This window comes from Homo sapiens, chromosome 2, assembly GCF_000001405.40.
Source record: "Homo sapiens chromosome 2, GRCh38.p14 Primary Assembly".
NCBI classification, from domain to species: Eukaryota; Metazoa; Chordata; class Mammalia; order Primates; family Hominidae; genus Homo; species Homo sapiens.
The window spans coordinates 194,721,191-194,745,570 of NC_000002.12; the positions used below are offsets into that span (position 1 = coordinate 194,721,191).

At 33.3% G+C, this 24,380-nt stretch overlaps 2 long non-coding RNA genes across 2 annotated transcripts in view; one reads left to right on the plus strand and one right to left on the minus strand.

Moving 5' to 3' along the window:
- Nucleotides 1-4,981: 4,981 nt before the first annotated feature.
- The window catches only part of LOC105376755 (uncharacterized), a 673,333-nt gene continuing 653,934 nt past the window's right edge, over nt 4,982-24,380 (minus strand). Inside the window, exon 4 of the long non-coding RNA XR_007088699.1 lies at nt 4,982-5,049. This is a non-coding gene — a long non-coding RNA (uncharacterized LOC105376755). The remainder of the gene's footprint in view (nt 5,050-24,380) is intronic.
- Nucleotides 9,405-24,380, plus strand: part of LINC01790 (long intergenic non-protein coding RNA 1790) — a 30,841-nt gene continuing 15,865 nt past the window's right edge. The window contains exons 1-3 of the long non-coding RNA NR_110223.1: nt 9,405-9,513; nt 14,835-15,136; nt 23,334-23,508. This is a non-coding gene — a long non-coding RNA (long intergenic non-protein coding RNA 1790). The remainder of the gene's footprint in view (nt 9,514-14,834; nt 15,137-23,333; nt 23,509-24,380) is intronic.

The window sequence follows — 24,380 nt, forward strand, 5'->3', positions numbered from 1 at the left end:
AATAATAATTAAATGATAAGTGGTCACAGCTAGCGCCAAGAGGGAAAGAAGTTCCCCCGAATAGAAAACAAGCCAGCAAACCACAATTCCCCGATAAGGTCTTAAGCATGCACAGTAGGGGACAAAATGATGGACTTTAACCAGTATATGACCTTCCTCTGGGGACACTCAATGAGTAAGGCAAAATTGCCAAAAGTGAGCATGCACACAACCTCAGTAAGCACACTGCACATGCCACCCCTCCCAGCACTGACAGGCCACTGTGCATGCAACAATTGAGCAACAATGAGCTGCAAGAGAGGTATCAAGGGAGGGGATATAAAAATCCCGAGCCAAGGGCTGAGTGGGGCACTTAATCTCTCAAATTGCCTGCTTAGTCTTCTTCCAAGTGTCCTTTGCTTCTTTCAATGTACCTTTGTCTCTGCTTTAAAACTTGCCTCAATCTCTCAGGTCAAATATTTCCTCTGAGAAAACAAGGGCTGGGATCACTGCAGTCTCAACACCTTTTTGTGGACACACCACTTGTAACAGGTGGAGCAGGGATGGTGGAGCTGAAATTTCCATTTATACTTCCATGCAGGAAACCAATCAATCAATGATCAAATAGGTGTTTAGTAGCTCTGTGGCATTGCTTGAAAGAGTTGATGTATACAGATTACATGTTCCCAGGCTCTGTGTGACTAGGGACCCATTATGTTTGTTTTCATTGTTTTGTTTTTAAGCCTTTATATGCTTTATTCACATGCTCTTTCTGACAATAAGGAGATCAATGGTTACTAGGAGTTGAAGGTGGGAAGAAGGAATGAATAGGTGGAACTCAGTACATTTTTAGGGCAATAAAACTATTCTGTATGACACTTTAATGGTGGATATGTCATTATAAATTTATCAAAACCTTTGGAACTGTACAAAACAAAGAGTGAACCCTAATGTAAACTATGGACTTAGTTAATCATAATTCAAAGAATAAATTCTATATGTTGCAAATCTCAATAGATACCATGTATTGGCCCATCCTTTGGGATTGTTGAAAACAAGGGGAGGTGGTATGAGAAGACAGTGTAATATAAGATATGGAAAAATTACTTGGGGCTCAAATTTAACTCTTCCTAATGCTTGTTACGTTATATAGCTGTTGATAGCTATAAGAAGAAGAAGAAATTCTATACGTTGCAAATAAAAGAAGAATTTAAGAAAGAAGAAATTCTATATGTTGCAAATCTCAATAGATATGGTATTGGCCCATATTTTGAGATCGTTAAAAGAAAAGGGAGGTGATATGAGAAGATACTATAAGAAAAGAGATGAAAAAGTTATTTGGGGCTCAACTTAACTCTTCCTAATACTAGCTAAGTTATACAACTGTTGACAGTTATATAACCATCATAACTACATGAGCCCTCATTTAATGTTCTTACGTAAAAGTTCGGTTCCAAATAGCCAATAGGAATATATATTTACTATATATTGAAATCTAACAGAGCGATTTCATTAACATCACATAGTAGAAACAATGCATATTTAATGATGTATTTAAGATACTATATTTGGAGGTTGGCTAGGAAAAAAAAAAGATACTATATTTACTATGTACTTTTTTCTACTTTTAAATACTCAGTAATTTGAAAGGAGATGCTAACAATTTCATTCAGTGGATTTTGATGGAGGCGAGAGGAGAAAGAAAATAAAACAAAACTCAAGCCACATCCACTGATGTTTTTAGCCTAACATGTACTACGTTGGGGTTTGAAAGAGCCTTATTTGTAACACATTCATAAGAGATGCTGCTGAACACTGGAAGTCTCAGAAATGTGTCTTAAAAGTGTTCCTGACTCAAGCCTAAGTTCCCTATGTTTGGAATAGCTATTTTTAACCCAGAAATGACAATATATCTCACGTTTAAAATCATAGTATTTTATCTCATAAAGTCTAGTTAATTGATATATAATAATTTAGTATTTCCTTAACTGTTCCATTTTTAAAACTTTTAAGTTCATAGATACATGTGCAGGTTCGTTGTATAGTTTTACTTGTTTTATGCGAGTTTCAGTGGAAGAAAAAGAAAGAAAAATGCTCTTTTTTTTTTTAACCTAGCAACAAGACATACAATTGAAAATGAAGAAATCCACTATCTCTATCTCAAGGACAATAATAAAAAAAAACCTGCCATAGAAAATGTCCCCCACAGATTCATCATTCTAAAGTTGAATTGTGAAACTTGTTAAAGCATAGATATGAAAAGCATTGCCAATATGTCAACCACCTTAGTATCATCCAAACTTCTTGCAGTCACTGCATTTTCTTCTGTAAGGGATGTCAAGATTTCATCAAAATGTCTTTTTATTTGGATAGTCTCCATACAGTTGTCTGCCTATTTTCACTCTCTGGTTTGCAACTTCTCGTGTACCAGTTGTCATTTCTGTAACCTTTCCAACAGCAACTGTGCAGTCCTGGGACCAAGATGCAGAATATCTCACTCAACAATCCTCCCACAAACCATCTGTTCTTAGAGACATCAACAACTGTTGGCATTGGGAGATTCGGCATAATGGGAAAGAAATTGTTCAAAATGATAAAGTGAAACTTTCTCAGAAATCTTAAATCCCAAGCACAATAGGAAAATAATTGCCTGACATATATAACCAGCATTATGTGAATTAAATAATTCTTGTATTAAAAAAACATAAAAAATAAAAACACCAAAACCCTTTCACTCTTCCATCAGATTTATACAAATTATACATGAAAATGTTTAAATTATGGCACCAAATCTGTAAAATCATGCAGTTTGCAAAATAAAATCTCTACCAAAATGAAAACATTCATAACATTGACTCTTCCAAACAAGGCAATATATATTTATACGTGTATATATTTATCTGTAAATATGTACTATATATATATATACATGTATGCACGTGTGTATAAATAAACATATACATGTGTATGTATGTGTTGTTCTTTGTTTCTCTACTCTGCACTTTCAATCCGCAAGTCAACTTATTTCCCGTCAAAAATTTCTAAAGTAATTATAATTAAACACGGAGAACAAAACGAAATATTGCTTTCTAATTATAACAGTAATAGTAGTTTTTGTTTGTTTTTTGCCGTATTCTGTCCTTTTTGGTATTAAACAGAAAAAAAAAAATACCTAAATACCTTTCAGAACAAGTACTAGTTGAAAAACTATGCACCAGTCCCAAATGTGTACCATTTCTCCCTGAAAATATTTATAGTCTTTCATTTAAAATGATCCACAGCAATGCTTGAGTAAAAGCATGAATGGAATTTTAATATCTTCCTGCATTTTGAATTGGAAATTCTACTGCTCTTGAATAGTAAATGATCACCAATAACCTGGCATTATCCAACTCACTTTCATGGGGTAACTAAGTTATTTTAGAGAGATTCTATTTTTTAAAATAAAAATGGTTTTAGAGTTGATGTGATTTTTAACATTTAATATGATTTCAAGAATAATTTTTAAAATATGTAGGACAATGTTATTATCCCCAATTTACAGAAAAGTATTAGATGAGCTACTTAAAGTCACATACCTTAGAAGTAGCAGAGACAGAACTCAGAAAGCATGTTTTACCATTTCAAAAATAAGTTCAAATTTTTTACAGAAATTTTTTGAGTTGACTTTTTAAACATAAAATGTCTTTTTCTCTCTTAATTATGTAAGATTACCTATCAACATATTCTTGAATGCACAGGTGATAAATTATTTGAATATAATATAAGTTAAAACCACAAATATTTTTATGCATCTATCTATAAAATATAGATCAGAAACCACATCTAGATTAGTCTCATTAGTTTTATAGAAAATATGACACCAAAATGATATTATAAAGTTTACGTCTGATTTTAAAGACTATTTCTAAAGATATAAGTTGCCACACAACATATATTAATTCTGGAAAATAACTCATAGCCAAAATACCTTTCATATCTACTTCCTTCTTTTCTAATGAATTCTTTTGTGTTACTTCATCTTGGTTCCTAGTCTGTTAAATCTCATGCCATTAATGTCTAATAGTTAATATTTTGGTCTCTTTAAGGCCTAAAGCTTAAATAGTTTCAGTGTGATAATTAGCAAATCTGTAATAGTTCTGTGCCTCTCTTTGAATCTCAGGTCTGTGAACCAGAGTCAGAGCATGTTTTATCTTGTATGTATTATTCATCACTCTCATACTCAGAGGGAATTTTCACAGACATGAAAGTATTTCAATTTTTCTTTTTCTGAGGAAACATTCATGTCCAGTTGGACTAATTACCACAGCCAGTTAACTCTCAATTACATGGGCAAAACAAATCATGTCATTTAAAAAGTTACGATTGTCACTACAAGTAGTCTTTTTGTAAATGGATGATTATGTCACACTGATAGGGTTTATTTCAAAAGGCTGAGTAATTAGAAATCTCCTGCATAACTTCTTCAAAGTGATGACAAACATGAGCGTTTTAGACCATTGATTTGCAACTAAAGATGGTTTTGCCTCCCCCACCCTTGCTCCCAGGTGATAATTGGCAATGTTTGAGGATATTTTGGGTGTTACACTGGAGAGGGGTACTATTGGCATCTACTGGATACAGGCCAGGGATGCTGCTAAACATCCTAAAATGCACAAGATAGCCCCTCACACAAATAATTATTTGGCTCAAAATGTTAATAATGGCAAAGCTGAGAACCCCTGACCTAGATAGTATCATACATAGAGTGGCTGCTAAAAACAAAATCTAGCTAATCATAATCCTGGTCACTTTGCTTTCATTTTAAAAGCTGAGGGAATAAGCTCAAAAATTATACATTTTTAATTTTATTTTTTCTATTTATTTTCATATTATACGCAGTTATACATTTTAGGTTGAGCTTCTGCTTCAGTAGTTTTCAATGCATAACAAATTAGAGAAATCAAAACTACCATTTCTCTTATCAGATTGAGACAGGAGATCCAGAAAGGTGTAGTTTAGATTCAGATCTTGTGAATTTCAGTGAACTGTTCTCCCATTCTTCTCTATTCAAGCTGGTTTGCAAAGAAACTGAAAAATAAGTAGAAGGATCATAAATATATAATAGATGGATAGAAGACAGATAAAGATAGATGATAGGCAGACAAATGAGAGAGAGAGAGAGAGAGAGAGAGAGAGAGAGAGAGAGAGAGAGAAAGGATAGTTAAAAAGAGCTTGGACCCTAGAGTCAGACTCCCTAAGCGTGCATTCCGGTTTCATGACTTACTAGTTGTGCAGCCTTTGACAAAGACTTAACAATTTAGAAACCTATGTTTTTAAAAACATATAATTGGGATAATATAATAAACCTACTTCATTAGGGTTGTCCTAAAGATTAAACTCACAGAATCCTTAGAGCCACACCTTACATATAATGTATTCTAAAATATCAACCCTCTATATAGCTACTTATACATTTTTACCTCAAATAATAGTGCTTTAAAAGATAAAGAATCTTAATACCTAAAATTATTTTATCTTTTCAGAAAGCGTAGATATTCTGAAAATTACACAATTATTTTGAAGAGCTTCAAATGATGGCCATATATATACAACACTGCTTCTCTGTAAAGCTAGTCCAATTGTCATTGTATTATTGATCACCATTGGAAATGATGAATAAAATGAAAACAGTGTTTTACCAGAAAATAACTAGATTTGCCAATCCTGCTTTTTCATATATATATAAATGGTTCATATATATATATATATATATATATATATATATATATATATATATATGGCTTTTTAACCATCATTTGAAATGTAGAGTGAAAATGAAATGTCTGCATTATCAGAAAATAGCTGGATTGACCAATGATGCTTTTTCATTTATATGTACATATTGGTGTTTTCATGCTTCTGATCTGAATTGCCCAGGCTTCAATAATTTATTTACCAGGCTTCTAAACTGCTTTGGGTGGTTTTGATTGAAGTTAACTCATTTTTTTCATCACTGTCATTGATCTAAGTCTTCCTACACTTTTCTTCTTCAGTAACTTAACAGTTTCATAACTTCAGTTTCTTAACAGTAACTCAAAAAAAAATGTATCCTTGTCTTCAACTTTCTGCTTTAATCTTTCTTATCTTAAAATTTCTTATCTCACCGTCTGTGCTGGCTTGTTCCAAATGACTATTATCTGAGGATTGACCTCTGTTATTCACTATTAAGTGATTAAATTCAGCAGGCACAGAAGAGCTTATTTTTAGACAGACTAGTATAAAGAATTCGACATCATGAATTATTATATGCTCAACCTTTGGCTCTTTAAAGACCACTAAGAACATCTATAGCAACATCCTTAATTTATATAATAATATAGCTACTCATAAACTTTACTATATAGTTGTATAAATATAAATTGTTGCATTTTAAACACGTAGTTATATAAATAATAGTAGAAATGGTTGAGTAAATCTTTAGGTTTTTCATTTATCAATTTTGATGTTTAACACAAAGGATACTAGCATTCTACAGTGGAGGCTTATATGGAGAGAGATTTGGAATTTTCCTCTTTTAAACAAAACATCCTCTAAATCTTGCTGGTAAAATTAGTTCACTGTAAAAATCACAATTATCTGGAGATTTGCGTTCTAATATTAACTTTAAATGAAACAGTTGGAGGTGAAGAAATCTGGTGATTTGGGGAGGGCATTTCAGTAGTATTGGTAGCTCTAACCCATGAAAATGGAAAAATCTCACTATTAAGTTTGCTGGACCACATCGTTGATTTTTCAACATAATATCAATAAGAAAATACATATATTTTTGAATGTTCAGATTTGCAGAGAAATAACCAATGACAAGAGAGATAATAAAACCAGATAAATAAAGGAAAGTAAGTCAAATTGCTATTTTCATATATCAATACCAAAACCATACACTTTTCAGAAGGATTTCTTATATAGAACTTTCTATACCATATGCTGAGTAACTGAGGAAGTTTCACAATCTTTTCTTGAAATACCAGATGCTAGGTTTGATGAATTAAGAAAGCTGGGCTTGAAATGTCTAATAATATATCTAGTTCTAAAACAGTAGAATGTTATATTAATATGAAATATAAATTCAGGGCTACAAAAGGTAAAAGGGAATTTTGCTTTCTTAGTTTAAACTCTTCCTTATTATCATTTTTATTTTAATCACCATGGCTTAGGAATATATTGTCTGCCATTTATTTCCTGGGTTAATATCTCTCTGATACCTCTTATATACTGCATGCAACCATTTCTCCCAGGATCTTAGGTTAAACTTCAACGGTTTAACTGCATGTCTAAAAGAGATCAGCCTGGTGCCTTGCAGAAGTGTCACTGGAACTTGACATGAAAACTCATGTTTGCTTGTTTGTTTTTCATCTTCCTGTCCTCTGCTTCCATATAATCAGCTCAAGTGAACATAGCACAGGAAACAGATCAAGATGTTGTTTGCTTCTCAACATTAACACACTAGTTGGCCTTTGGTAAATAAATCATTTGTCTGGGAGCTTTTTCTTTCTCCTCCAAATTGGTATTTATTTGGAAAATAACACACTTTTTCTTAGACTTACATTTTCGAGATTACATAAATTAAATGCCTGTAAAAATTCTTTGGGTTTTCTTAGACAGTAAATAAACCACAACATTATAAATTAGAATTCAATGTGACTTAGCCTATGTTTGATTCATGAAGCTTTGCAGTGGAGCATTTAATACATTCTGGTAATGCTTTGATTTGCATATCTTATATGTGGAACAGCCACTCAAATTTGTGACAGCTTCCTTAAGATTCACCTTGGTCAAGAATTCCTAGAAGATGCAGCAGAGGTTCATAAAATATCTTTGGGAATACCAGAAAGATCAGTCAAAGTGTAGGATAGATTTTGGGAAATACAAGTTCGTTATGACTCTAATTTTTTTAGTTGTTTATGAGATTAACAAATCATAAAAGAGAAGAATCTTGGACTTAAAGACATATTAAAAATTAGGACTCTGTAATGTGCCAACCAAGGATTGCTTTTTTCTCCATTTTCAACAGGAACAACAACAACAAACGTCCAGCGACTCTTATAGAACATGATTTCTACTACATTTTTGAGTCAATAGTATGAAAGCTATGAGAAGTGTGGTTTGAAAATCCAATTAAAATTAAAAGCGAAATATTCTAAGTCAAATTTTATACATAGAATTAATCTTATTCATATAGACAGTATATTTTTAAAAATTAGCGTGGAAAGCTGTCATATGACAGGTATTTTAGACTGTGATGTTTAGTTAAAAGTGTGTACAACTGATTCTACCATGCACTACTCTTAATCTGTCATTGAGATTGCAGGAACCTTGTTTTTCACAGTGGGCTAACTGTTCCATCTGGCCCATTTCTGTTTATATTTTTTCTTCACCTTTTTCTTTAGCTCATTCTATGTGATTCTCATTCCCATTTTTAAATATTTGAGGGCCCTTAAAATGACACAGCTATTCTCTGAATAATTCTGAATTCATTGAGAGCTGTCTATGGCCATACCACCCTGAATATGCCCAATCTCATCTGAATTCATGGAGAGATCATTTTTTAAATCTGGTAGAGGAATTTTGGTTTCTGATAACAGTAAATTCGCCTTGTGCAAACCATCTCTTTTATAAACAGACAAGCAACAATGAAATCTGGACAAAATACAATCAGACAAACAAATAAGCGAATTTTTGTTTGAATGCATCAAAGAATACTGAAGAAACCAGGACTTTTAAGGGCAGAATCCTGAAAAAAAAAAAAAAAATGAAGAAAATGTGGTACATATACACCATGGAATACTATGCAGCCATAAAAAGAATGAGATCATGTCCTTTGCAGGGAGACTATTATCTTTAACAAACTAACACAGGAACAGAAAACCAATGACCACATGTTCTCACTTATAAATGGAAGCTAAATGATGAGAACACATGGACACATAGAGAGGAAAAACACATACTGGGGCCTGTTGGAAGGTGGAGGGAGGAAGGATGTGGAGGACCACGAAAGATAATTAATGGGTACTGTGTTTAATACCTCGGTGATGATATAATCTGTACAACAAACCCCCATGAGACAAGTGTACCTATGTAACAAACCTGCACTTGTACCCCTGAACTTAAAATAAAAGTTAAAAAAAAAAAAAAAAGGAAAGAAGCTCTTCGAGGTCAGCCTAACCCTACTTCTCCCTAAAGGCAAGATTCTTAAGTGACAACAGTTGGGAGGTTAAGAAGTTGGAGCAGAGAGTGATAGCTAGAAGAGAGGTATTGAGTTCAGCATTAGTCAGTCTCCTGTGGCTTGGTCTCAGTAATTATGACTCAGATTATAGAAAATCATTCCCTTGCTTATAAATATTAGCTGCCTTCAATATTTATAAGACTTTTTGATCTTCACCTTTAGCTTAGATACTTTTGGCCATCCATGAACCAATTCTCTTGGCTTCTACCTTCTAACCCAAATATATCTGGGAAGCCCAACTGAAACCCCAGAAGTAGTCATGACATCAGGTAAATATCAAAACTTAAATTTTTTTGCTTATCTTTCTAATTTATGGCATGTAAGTAAGAGCTATTTTGCCAAATTCCTCTCCACTTGATTCAGATTACAATGAACTGAAAGCAAGAAGACAATTGTATTTGAATGTTTTTAGTTTCTATTAATATATTTTTATTTAATCCATGAGAATTTACTTTTAGGTAGTATAAAGCTCTTTCTTTTTTTACAAGTTATCTAAATATAAATCTTTTTATATGCTAAAACTTTATTTCATATTTTGTAGATCATTTCTTTTATGTATTATCATGTCCAACTCCAGAATTTAGGTCAACTTAATATTTGTTTCAAGTTACTAATTTGTCAATGTGCTGATATTGTTGTCAAAATAGCTGAAAAATAGCAAAACTACATTTCTACAATCAAAAACTATTTATTAAAAAGTATAGGCTCCTTATAGGCATGTCAACATACATTATGGGCTTAGCACAGTTTCTGGTACTAATAAATTTAATGGTAAATATGAGTTTTTAATGGATGACATCACTTACAGTTATTTTTATTATTATAGTTTCATTTTATGCAAATAATATAGTTTCCTTTTCTTAAGTCACTGCTGTCTGTTGTGTGGTTCTTGAGTCCTTGTTAACAAAATCAATAGAGGAATAATTAGAATAAAAAATAAACTTCTATTTATATTTATATAAAATAAATAATATAAATAAAACATTTATATTATATAAAATATAAATATATAATTCTATTTATATTTATTTTAATATATATTGAAATAGTATATATATACTATTTATAATTAGTATTCATTATTTCAAAAACGAATAAAGAAATTAAGATTTACTAATATTTAATAGACGTCATCAGGACCCTTAGGTCAGATGTCATATCAAATGGAGTAGAGTTAAAATATTTAAAAAGGCCATAATTGTTCAGAATTCATGTGGCCACAGACAGTAAGCACATGTGGGATTAATCAAAGCTGAAAGACACCAGGTATTTAAAATAAATCCAGTTGTAACATTCAAAAATTTGAGGTTTTGTTTTTCTTCTCCCCCCCGCCAACCTACTGGATCAGCTGCTACAGAGATTAGGTTTCTCATTTCTGTATCCATACATAAAAATCTGCATTAAAATTTCTGTTCCTGGAAATAGGGTAGAAACCAGAAAAATCTACAGAACATCTGATTAGTTTAAAACACAATTAATCAGATGACTAGTGATTGGAATTTAGTCATTTTAGGAATTAAATCCTGTGGGGCACAGCTGCCAAAAGCATCCTATGTTTCACAGATTAGACAATGTTTAATTAATAGATTAAAAGTAAGCCAAGCAAAACATAAGCAGTATTCACACTTGTATTTTGGCTAGCCAAATATAATGTGTGGCAGGAAATTTAGGCTTATTTAATAGGGAGTCACTCAATTTCAAGCTAAAAAGCATTTCCTGGTTCTGGCCATACATCACTGCACTTGAGTCATGATCAATTTGAAATATTCACTATTTATTTAGCTCATGATATAATACCATTCACGATCCATAATAGAGGCCATTATTTTGTACAAAAATGTTCTGCCATGATATTTTTAGAATATTTATTCAGAAATGTTTTCTTTTTTTCTTCTTTTTTTTTAGTATATTTAAGTTCTGGGATACTTGTGCAGAACATGCAGGTTTGTTACATAGGTATACATGTGCCATGGTGGTTTGCTGCACCCATCAACCCGTCATCTACATTAGGTATTTCTCCTAATATCCCTCCCCTTGCCTCCCACCCCTAGACAGGCCCCAGTGTGTGATGTTCTCGTCCCTGTGCCCATATGTTCTCATTATTCAACTCCCACTTACGAGTGAAAATATGCAGTGTTTGATTTTCTGTTCCCGTCTAAGTTTGCTGAGAATGATGGTTTCTAGCTTCATCCATGTCCTTGCAGAAGACATGAGCTCATTCTTGTTTATGTCTGTATAGTATTCCATGAGGATGTGGAGAAATAGGAATGCTTTTACACTATTGGTTGGAATGTAAATTAGGTCAACCATTGTGGAAGACACTGGCAATTCCTCAAGGATCTAGAACCAGAAATACCATTTGACCCAGCAATCCCACTACTAGGTATATATCCAAAGGATTATAAATCATTCTACTATAAAGACACATGCACACATATGTTTATTGCAGTACTATTCACAATAGCAAAGACTTGGAACCAACCCAAATGCCCATCAATAATAGACTGGATAAAGAAAATGTGACACATACACATCAAAAAAAATTTTTTTTTTTTTTTTTTTTTTTTTGAGACAGAGTCTCGCTCAGTCGCCCAGGTTGGAGTGCAGTGGCGCGATCTGGGCTCACAGCAAGCTCCGCCTCCCGGGTTCACGCCAATCTCCTGCCTCAGCCTCCCCAGTAGCTGGGACTACAGGCACCCGCCACCACGCCTGGCTAATTTTTTGTATTTTTAGTAGAGATGGGGTTTCACCTTGTTAGCCAGGATAGTCTCAATCTCCTGACCTTGTGATCCGCCCATCTCGGCCTCCCAAAGTGTTGGGATTACAGGCGTGAGCCACCACGCCCGGCCATCAAAAATATTTTCTAAATGAAAATTACAGAGGATATATTTATGGGTATTTGACAAACAGCATGCACAGTATTATGCCTCTTTCTTGTCTCAGCCAGTAGATGATTCCTTTTTTACCAGTGGGTTCTATAGTTCCATATGCTTGCATCCTATTTATTGGAAAATATTAAGAAGTCTTGAGTCCTGAGAACTACATCTCTACATATATTTATGTACACCCAAACAGATGACTGGTAAATGTGTTGCTGTCAGCTCTTTTTACTGGTCAGAACTTTGTGTCCTCCACAGAGAGTCAGCTCTATTACTGGAGCTTCAGGGTGGTAACCAAGCACAATCTAAAAAAAAGCTTTAAAATGTGAGCTTTAATATTAAAAGCAACAGTCTCAAAACTATAGTTAATATTCACCATCTTTCTTCTGCTTACTTTCAGCTAACACTTCAATAGATCTACCTTTCTGAAAGTTGTCATCAAACCTTCATGAGATGTGAGTCCCGATTACCTTGCCCTTACCAGGACATGGCTAAAGTCATAATCAGCTTATTTTTTTTTTTTTATTATCTCACATAGAAACGCCAAGAGGTTCCTCTAGGAATCTTCTGAGTTTCAGACATCTTCACTGAGTCTTTTATGTTACAAAAACCTTCATTTCTCGTCATGTTAATGGTCAGTTATCCCCACCCTACTACAGTAACTTCTTTTATGCCTGCTTTTCTATTGGTATGAGGAACTCAAAAATGACAGGATAAGAGTTGTAGCTATAAATTCATTGTAATTTTACTGAGAACCTGATGGAAGCCTGAAGACAAAGAATTCTAATCCTGTAAGCCTCAGGTTCTCATAAGAATTACATGGAGATAAGAATTACATAGTCACCTCAGGCACGGTGGCTCATTCCTGTAATCCCAGCATTTTGGGAGGCCAAGGAGGGCAGATTGCCTGAGGTCAGGAGTTTGAGACCAGTCTGGCCAAAATGGTGAAGCCCTGTCTCTACTAAAAATACAAAAAAATTAGCTGGGTGTGGTGGCAGGTGCCTGTAAGCCCAGCTACTCGGGAGGCTGAGGCAGGGGGATTGCTTGAACCAAGGAAGTGGGGGTTGCAGTGATCCGGGATCGTGCCACTGAACTTCCACTCTTACTTCTATTCCTTGATTCCTGGGCCCATGCACTCTATCTGTTGGAAACACAGCACTATATAAGTCATTGGTTCAAAGAATATAGCTTTTAAAAATATGTTTTCATGTTTGCTCAGGATAGCAGCTACTCAGTAATGCAGTATCTGACTGGGCTCACGAATCTTATGGTCCATGTACTCATTGTCAAATTCTCTTTGATTTAAATGCATCCCTTGGCCCTAGACAATGCCAGCTGAAACCTGTGACAGTAAGTCACAGTTCTAGAAGTCTTTATATAGTTTCTTTTGTGTGGAGCAGCTCTTTAGCTTAATTAGATCTCACTTGTCAATTTTGGCTTTTGTTGCAATTGCTTTTGGTGTTTTAGTCATGAAGTATTTTCCTATACCTATGTCCTGAATGGTATTGCTTAGGTTTTCTTCTACGGTTTTTATGGTACAAGGTCTTATGTTTTAGTCTTTAATCCATCTGAGTTAATTTTTGTATAAGGTGTAAGGAAGGGGTCCAGTTTCACTTTTCTGCATATGGCTAGCCAGTTTTCCCAACACCGTTTATTAAACAGGGAATCCTTTCCCCATTGCTTGTTTGTGTCAGGTTTGTCAAAGATCAGATGGTTGTAGATGTGTGGCATTATTTCTGAGGCCTCTGTTCTGTTCCATTGCTCTATATATCTGTTTTGGTACCAGTACCATGCTGTTTTGGTTACTGTAGCCTTGTAGTATAGTTTGAAATCAGGTAGCATGATGCCTCCAGCTTTGTTGTTTTTACTTAGGATTTTCATGGCTATATGGGCTCTTTTTTGGTTCCATATGAAATTTAAAGTAGTTTTTTCTATTCTGTGAAGAAAGTCAATGGTAGCTTGATGTGGATAACATTGAATATATAAATTACTTTGCACTGTTCACAATAGAAAAGACTTGGAACGAACCCAAATGCCCATCAGTGATAGTCTGGATAAAGAAAATGTCACACATATACACCATGGAATACTATGCAGCCATAAAAAAGAAGGAGTTCATGTCCTTTGCAGGGACATGGATGAAGCTGGAAGCCATCATTCTCAGCAAAGTAACACAGGAACATAAAACCAAACACTGCATGTTTTCACTCATAAGTGGGAGTTGAACAATGAGAACACATGGACACAGGGAGGGGAAAATCACACACCAGGGCAGTCGGGGGTTGAGGGACTAGGGGAGGGAAAACATTGGGAGAAATACCTAATGTAGATGACGGGTTGATGGGTGCAGCATACCATCATGGTATGTGTATACCTATGTAAGTAACCTGCACATTCTGCACATGTATCCCAGAATTTAAGTTATAATTTTTTTAAAAAAGTATTTATATAGAGGTGAAAAAAAGGCACTGAGGGCAGAGATAACAAATTCATATCCAGAATACAATTTAAATCTCAGGGACTATAAGCAACCCTCCCCTCCATGTAGTAAAGATGTGGACAATCAATCTAAGTAGTACCATATCAAGGGCTTACCATCAGTCATACATTCAGCAATGACAGCAGATAAATGAGTCTTGTTGAGAAAAGCCCTATGTTACTGTGCTCATTAATAAGCACTACATGTATCATCATGTCTATTTCATTCATAGGCCCACTGTACAAGTACTGAAATGGCTGATGACAGAGGATGTTCGACCCAGATGAGTCATCTTGTTCACTTAGTTTTGAAGTACCTCTTTTGAATGAGGCTTTAACATGACACAAAAACAAATCTGCATTTGTGTCCACTCCTATACCTCCATCAGCACGCCACTTCTCCTGAACTCTTACTTAGCCTCTGGACCTTTCTCTCTTCCTCCTTTCAGACCTCTCACCAACAAACCAAATCATTGCCACTTCTCAAGTTTGCAAGCATACCTTTACCTCTGATGACTTCTTCCATGAAACTAAGGTGATAACAATGTGTATTGCTCACAGTTCAGCTTGTTGGGAAGATTTCCCTCTCATCACTGTCCTCACAGCTATATCTAAATGTGGATGTGGAGCAGTGGTAGTCCATTTTTAGCTTGTAGTAACATATGGAGTGAGTCATCAACAACTGCTGTTCTAGTATGTATCTATGCATGTATTGATTTATTGTGTAAACATTTCTTCTTTATAAATAAAATAAAATATAATTTGAATTAAATGTAGGACTTCGGGTAAAAGAAAAAAATAGTAAAAAGAAAAGGCCAGGAATAAAATGTTGTTCACAAAATCAGACTGTGAAGTTTGGTGCACTGAAAAGATACAGAAATTGCTGCTGGGATAATAGAGCACATATCATGGATTTCCTTTGTAAAATATGTTTCTCTTCAGTGACAATACATTCGTGAAATATTTCATACCATCTGGTAGAGTTTAAGTATATGTGTCCCTCCCAAATTCATATGTTGGAACTCAGACCCCACAGTGATGGTATTAAGACGTGGGACTTTTAGTAAGTAGTTAGGTTATGAGGGCACAACCCCCACGAAGGAATTAATGCTCAAGGGAACTAGCTAGTACTTTTTAGTCCTTCCATCCCTTCCACCATGTGAGTACATAATGTTTACCCCCTCAGGAAGATGCAGCAACAATGTCCCTTCTCAGGAGCAGAGACCAGACCCTCAATAGATACTGAACCTGCTGGCACTTTAATTTTGTACTCCCAGCCTCAATAACTGTGAGCCATAAGTTTATGCAGTTTATATGTTACTCAGTCTCAGGTATTTTGTTATAGCAGCATAAGACACCATCTATTACATAATCAAAAAATATAACAAAAGAAAAAGTAGCAAATTCAACTAAGAAAATAAGGAGATGGCAGAAGGTTGATAAAAGTAAAAAGGAAACATATGAACAAAAGCTGGTTCTTTGAAAAAATAAATTAAACTAAACTCTAGCCAGACTAACCAAGACAAGAACAGAGAAGACAAAAATTACCAATATCAGGAATGAAACAAAAGTCATCACTTATTAGCCCAAGGACTATAATAGGATAGTAAAGGAACACCAAGAATGACTATTGCCATAAATTTGATAACTTACATAAAATGTATCAATTTCTTGAAAGACTCAAACTAACTCACACAAAGAGAAATAGATAACATGATAGCCCTATACCAATTAAAGATTTTGACTCAATGATTAATAACCTTTGAAAAAATGTAGTACCAGGCCCAGTTACTTTTGTATTCTACCAAACACTTCAGAAGAAAATAATACCGATATCCACAATCATTTCTAGAAAAATAGAAGCAGAGGGAATACTTCCTAACTCCCTCCCTGAGGCCAGAATTAACCTAATGCAGACCATTATCCTCTTAAACACTGATGCAAAAATCCCTCGTAAAATAATGGCTAATTGAATCCAACAATATATAGAAAGAATTGTATACCAAGACCAAGTAAGATTTATTTTAGGTAAGCAAGTCTGGTGTAACATTAAAAAATCAATCAACATAATCCACCATATCAACAGGATAAAGAAAAAAAATTATATTATCATATCAATTGATGCACAAAAAGCATTGATAAAATCCAATACCTATTCATGATAAAAAAAAAAGTTTGGAAAATTAGGAATAAAGAATAATTTCCTTAACTTGATGAAAACATTTATTTAAAAAAAACATATATTTGATCGTCAGAGATTGGATGCTTTCCTACTGATGTCCTTGGAAACAAGGCAAAAATTTCTTCTTTCACACTCCTATACAACATGTATTAAAGGACAAACTATTACAATAGGATAGTTTGACAGTTTCTTACAAAGTTAAACACTTCCTTACCTTATGAACTACAAACCATGCTTTTAGGTATTTATCCAACTGATTTAAAAAATAGAACACATAAAAACCTGCATGTGGATATCTATGGCAGACCTATTCATAATTGTCTAAAACTTGAAGTAACTAATATGTCCCTTAAGAGGTAAATGGATAAAGAGAGAGTGGTACATGTATATAATGAAATACTATTCAGCAATAATGAACGTATTATCAAGCTATGCAAATACATGAATGAATCTTAAATTCATATTTCTATCTGAAAGAAGACAGTCTAAAAAACTGTATACTATATGATTCCAATGATATAAGGTTCTGGAAAAGGTAAAACAATAGAGGTATTTAAAAACATCAGTGGATTCCAGGAATACAGGGTAGGGGCAGAGGTAAATAGGTAAATCACATGGGATCTTTTAGGGTGGTGGAAAACATTCTACATGAAACTGTAATCATGGAAACATGGCATCATGAATTTGTCAAGGCCTATAGGGCACAAAGACTAAAACTGAACACTATTGCAAAAAACCCTTGTGATGGTTAATATTACGTGTCAACTTGATTGAAGGATGCTTGGATAGCTGGTAAAGTATTGTTTCTGGGTGTGTCTGTAAGGGTGTTACGAGAGGAGATTAATATTTGAGTCAGTGGACTGGAAAAGGAGGACTCATACTCAATGCGGGTGGGCACCATTCAATCAGCTGCCAGCATGGCTAGAACAAAGCAAGTGAAAGAAGATAGGATAAGCTGGCTCACTGAGTCTTCTGGCTTTCATCCTTCTCCCATGCTGGATGCTTCCTGCACTTGGACATCAGACTCCAGGTTCTTTGGTCTTTGGACCCTTGGACTTACAACAGTGGTTTGCCAGGGGCTCTCAGGCCTTCGGCCACAGACTAAAGGTTGTACTGTTGGATTCCTTACTTTTGAGGCTTTTGGACTCAGCCTGAGCCACTACTGGCTTCCTTCCTCCTCAGCTTGCAGACAGCCTATCATGGGACACACCTTTTGATTGTGTGAGTTAATAAACTCCCTTTCATATATACATATATCCTATTAGTTCTGTCCCTCTGGAGAATCCTGACTAATACAACCCTTATGTATGGAAAACATTAAGATCATTTAGAAGGTCAAGAGTTATCAGAATAGAATGAAGAATGAGACAAACTAACCATATAACAAATTAAAAAAAAAACAACAAACCTGAAAGTGCTGACCTAAGCGATTTTGGAAAGGAGTTTTTGAAACCAAATGTGGTAAGAACCAGATGTAAATATTGTACTTGAGATGATAGATTTCTCCCAACTAGGTACAGGTTAACAATTCTGAAGCCATATATATTCGAATATATATATGAAGGACATATATTCGAATTGAACAATTAAAGAATGATGAACAGTGGGAATCAGTTTCTCACATTTAAAGTGGGTCATTACAGACCAGCAAAAGTAGAATCGTAGAATGATCAATGTGGTAATAAATTAGAAGTCATCACTGTGAACTCATGCTTGGCTCAAAATAGGTACATATAGTTATATAAAAAAGATATTTAGAGAATTATGTGTGTATGTATATATGCATGTGTCTGTGTATGTATATATACACATATGATAACACATATAGGAATATATATAGTTACTATATAGTTAACCTATATGTAGTTAACAACACATATAGAAACATATACAGTTCCTTATTCTCTCAGCTAAGCAGATCTAGAGGCAATGACACACCAGTGGCAACCATGACACCTAGTACCCAGATTTTGGTTTCTAATATCATTTTCAGTAGAAGGAAACAGTGAGTCTTAGAAAAATGTCTCATTCCAGGACTTGGAAGGAAATATTTATGATGAGTTTGAAGCATAGTATAATGCCAGAAAGTAGAATACTAAAACAAACAAAAGACACCCAAAAAACAAAAAGCAGCATTGGAAGTAAATTAAAGGGACACAAGAGCTAACTAAAAAAGCTACTAATGTCCATACCTGGAACAATTTGGGCAACAGAATAAATAAAGTGGTATTAGATTAAAACCCAAAGTGTAAAATAAATATCCATGAGTCTATATTGATAGAAATCAATTACTGAATTAAAAAAATAGATTGAGAAGAAAAAGTAAATCTCTTATGCAGATGAATTCAAATAATTTATGTAGATATTCTACCCTCAAAAATAGAAAGCATAACTTCTCAAATATTTTTAAGCCATAGTGACTTCCTTCCTAAGTATACAGTATGGATAGGGGAAAAAAGAGTAACTTTAAAGTGGAGAAACTTCAAATAAGCAAACAAACAAACAAAAAACAACTACTCTGCCAAATAATCAAAGTCAACATCAACAGTGATAAGTCATGTTGATAGTATATATCCTTGGTATTATGTGATGTCACTTTACCTTGTGGTCTTCCTCCCCAAAACACATAATCGGTCTTGTCATAAAAAAAAAAAAGCAAAAAAAAAAAAAACAAAACAAAACAACAACAACAAAAAATCTCCCAAATGAGGGAGAGTCTACAAAATACCTCACCAGTAACACTCAAAACTGTCAAGGTTATCAAAAACAAGCAAAACCTAAGAAATTGTCTCAGTCAAAAGGAGCAACCACTAAATATAATGTGGTATGTTGAAACAGACTGTGGAACAGAAAAAGAATGTAAGGGAAAAAACTAAGAAAATCTGAATAAAGTATGAACTTTAGTTAAAAAAAAAAGTGCGTATCAATATTAGCTCATTTGTTAGGACAAATGTACCATACTAATGTAAGCTGTCAATAATAGGGAACACCAGCTATGAAAAATAAGCAAACTCTGTAATGTTTTCACAATTTTTCTCTAAATCTAAAACTCTTTTCGAATAAAAGTTTATATTAAAAAATGAGCATATTAGTTCCAAGATTAAAAGGAAAAAAAGGATATATATTACAAATAAGACAATTCAAAACTATTATAAGTTAACATTTAAAAATAGATAAAATAAGATACTAAGAATGAATAGATAAATAATTGACTTTATAACAAAGGACAAAATTTGAAAATGAAAAGCCACAACATAAAAATTTGAGCATAATAACTCTGAAGAGACCAGATAGTTTTGTGAAGCTGTGAGAATCTAAAAGTTTGTGAGGTTAAGGATAAGCTTTAGTGAAATTGAAAATGGTGATATCTCACGGTAACAAGAGATACATTGAAATAGGCATATCCAGAAAACAAAAGAAAAGGCGGGATGGTGTATGGATGTGGGGGGGTGGGGAGGGAATCTGTGTAGAAACAAACCACATTTTCTAGTGACATCAATCTTACACAATAGGATTGTTGTAAACTTTGGTTCTGGAATATGAAATCCATCAGGGCTGAACCTCAGAACAGAGGACTATTTTTATATTTTTGTTTGCCTTTACTTTATACTTGCTTCTGAAACCACTGGAGATGAGCTAAGCTTTCCAAATAAGTGATTTGCTTCTAGACCTCAGATAAAGTTGAAAGGTGATAAGAAGCCATGGGTGGTAGTACCTAAAAAATTATGCATTTCTCTGAACTGTTAAAATGAAAATTAAACTGAAAAAAAGAAAAGAAAAATAACTTTGATGTGTGAATGTATACTTAAAAGTTTAGATGTGGCATTTCTTGAAAGTGAGATCATATTAAAAATTAAGTGACTACATAAAAATTTCAATCATGCTAGATGCTACAGTCTATCTTGAATATAAAAATTAACTATAATTATTAAGGGTATACATATCTTCAGTTGAATGATATTATTCCAAATGAATATATATTACAGCATACACATTTCTCATGGTCTTCTAATACTTGAAAACATTCAGAGAGAAATGTTCATGTTGAATAATCTGATTCACTTTTCAGATTGTTTTTTGTCTTTACTTTTATCCTGTACTGTCTTCAACATGTTTAATACACTTGCAGAGAAGCTAAAAAGTTTTTATAAAACAAGTACATCTGTCTCTGAGTTTCACCATCAACACAACTTCTTTCCTCAACAAATGCTTTCAAGTCAAAATACTCCCAGAGGCAAAGCTCTAAAAAAAAGGCAAATGGGAATCAAGGTATCTGTTATGTATCTAAATACTTTAATAATTCTTCAACTTAGAAATTTTTACCCTTTCCTTTATCATATAACACTTGTTTGAGAGAAAGAGGGAGAACTAAATATTTTATGCAAATATGAAAATAATATTTAATATAAATGTTAGAAATACTTGGTATATAAAAGTTCAGTTTTATAGTGAATAGTTGAAATTTTTCAAAGTTGTTTTCCATAAAAGGATAAATTATTCATTTGTGCATAACTCAAAAAACATATTAATGTTTTCATTTGACAAATTAAATTGTCCATGTTTTTTTCTGTATTCTTTTATTAATATTGACTGTTTTCAGCATTTGGAGTAGAGCTTATGACCAAGAATAGCTTTGAGAAATTAAGACAATTAGGGTTTGGAAGGAAATGTGTTGGACACTTTTACATATGAGACATTTATTCATTATAGTTACACGCAAAAATTGCAATAATTGACTAACGGAAAGAACATAAAAACTTGATTTTGAAGTGAATGTCCTTCGTTATTGAACAATGTAAGAGAACTGTAGTTTTCTGCAAATGTCTTACAATTTATTTTAATACAACATATAGAGTGAATTTTTTTCATTCTAGCTAGCTTCTATTTTAATCTGATGACACATTAAAGAATTTGTTAAATCACAAAGTGGTGTTGCTTCAGAGCCATAAGAAACATTCCAGTGTTCACATACATTTCTCCTTTTGCAGAAAAAAAATAAATAAGTTATTAGTCCAATTCTATAAAGCTGACTAGTAACAGAGTCAGAAAAAGATATCTAGATGAGTTACCTTTTAACTACATCAAATCATACATATACTTATATATGTTTTATACATATGATTAATGATTATTTCTAGTTTACAAATATGCATTCTCCTCTAGAATTTTAGGTAACCCCAAAGTCATATTTAGGAAAATATGACTAAAATTGTTTATTAGTTTCTAATACAGTTTGCAAAAAGGGAAAGATAATTCTTACATGTTTAACTGTTTATCTCTCTAGTGTGCAGCATATCCTAGTTTTCCTAAACAGGAAAGAGTAAGCATTTCATTAAACACATTTTTATACAAAAATTCAAAACACAAAGCCCATGGGCATTTGCACACCCAAACACAGCATAAGTATATACAATGTATGTAAATTACATTGCAATTTTAAAAGTATAATTAGTCTACAAATAAACATTAAAGATATATGAACAATAGAAAACAGAAAGAGATGAATAAAAATTGTTGAAAATAGATCATAAGGTAGTATGTGTTATTAAGGTCCTTTCTCCTTTTTTTTTTAAAAAAACTTATTTATATTTTCTAATTTTCCTATGGTAAATAATGTTCAGTGAAACATTTTTTTAAAAAAACTTATTTATATTTTCTAATTTTTCTATGAAAAATAATGTTTAGTGAAACATTTTAAAAGTCAACATTATAAAAAATATGGAATCATATTTCTAAGTATATTTAAATATTTATTTGTGAAGGCAGATTTAAGTTATATTTTTCAAAAGCAAAACTTGTATGATTATATATTTTAAAATATTTTTCAAAATAATAGAAAATATAATAGAGGATAATTTACAAAATATCTGTTTTATTAGTGTTAACTTTTCAAATCCTCAAAAGTATCCAAACATAGTAGTTCAGTCTGATGCTTTGTTTTTCAATCGTTTTCATAATTCTCACCAGCAGACAGATGAATGAAAATTGGAATAAGTAATAGCACCTATCTCCTAAATGAAAACAATGCATCACATGACTATCACATCCATTTATTGAGGGCTTTCCCAACTTCTGCTGCTTTTTAAATCCATTTCTAAAATTCCTTGAATAAGAAAATATTTAATAATGTGAAAATAAATGATGTTACTTTTTTTTTTCTTTTCAAATTCTTCTCATGTTAGTTTTATTCCAACAGAATCAATGTCTATTAATAAAGTGGCCTGAATTGGGGAATTAGGAGAAAAGTAAGCAAAATTAATGAAAACCAAAACAGTATTTTTCTTACAATAAAATGAAAAATGAAGGAGAGAAAAAAAAGAATTTAAGGGGACAATTTCTTAAGACTATTTAAAGGGTATAGTAAAAGAGTATCAACACAAAAGACGTGATGGGAGGGTAAATTATACAATGAATCATATCAAGATAATTAATCAACAGTTTTTACCCTCAAATGCCTGCTTGGGTACGTGCTTGATTTTTCAAATGCTCAAATTAAAAAAAAAAAGTTCAATAATAATTTTGGTGTTATTCTATTTGATTTTGTTTGCAGAATGAGTCGGCAATGTATAATGGAACAAATTGACTCTTGGCTGACTGGCTAAGTCGTTTAGCCTCTCTGAGCCACATTTCCCTTAACTATAAAATGAGGTTTAAAAAAAGAAGTCCACTCTGAAGGCTTGTGATGTGGATAAATGCTTTTAACTTCTTACTTGAGCCCATTGAAGGTAGGTACTCTGTCCTATTTGCCTTTTTGTTCCCAGTACCTAGCCCAGAATCTGGTGCAAATAGACACTTGATAAATATCTATTCATTTTCTATTTCTTTCTATATAAATAAAACTCTTCTAGGCAGACCTTTGATTTTGATTCTGAGACATATTTGGAATGAAAATATTTTAGAATCATACAGACAGGAGTTTGAATTTCAGCTACACACTTCCTAAATATATGGTATTAAGCACAAGATTTGATCCTCATTTGCATCAATGGAGATGGATGTTAAAAAGTAAATAACAAAACTATACATCTTTCTACCTCCAAACATTGTTGAAAATATAAAACATAACGTTTATTATATGCCTTGCTTTTCTTTTTTACTTGATCAAGTCCAATTTTGCTATTTTTACCTTTGAGTCTGATTACCATGCTGATTTTGTTTCCAAAGGTAAAGCAGCCCATTCCCTCCCGTGAAGAGCCGCAGAAGGTGCTTTGGTTACAATAGGTTAATGGGGCTAATCCACAATTCACACTTCTCTATGATCTCTCCTGGCTTGTGAAATAGGCTGTAGATTCAAAGTCAGGAAAAGCAAAGCCTGTTGTACAAGAAAAAAATAAAACAGCAACAACAAAAACTGCCCTTTTTATTCCCATGCTAGTTATATTAACTGCTATAGCTCTGCTCTCCATTTTGTCAACCCTATTTACAATTAGTCTTAGGGTCACTTTTACACCTTTGGTAAACATGATTCTCAGTGTATAACCTTATTCCTTCCACTCTTTGCATTTCTTCAGGTGGATAAGAGTTTATAAATTTTTTACCTTGGCTCTAGTTTCTCAATTGCTTGTCTCAAATCTGCATCAGTCTTTCAAACAGCCTT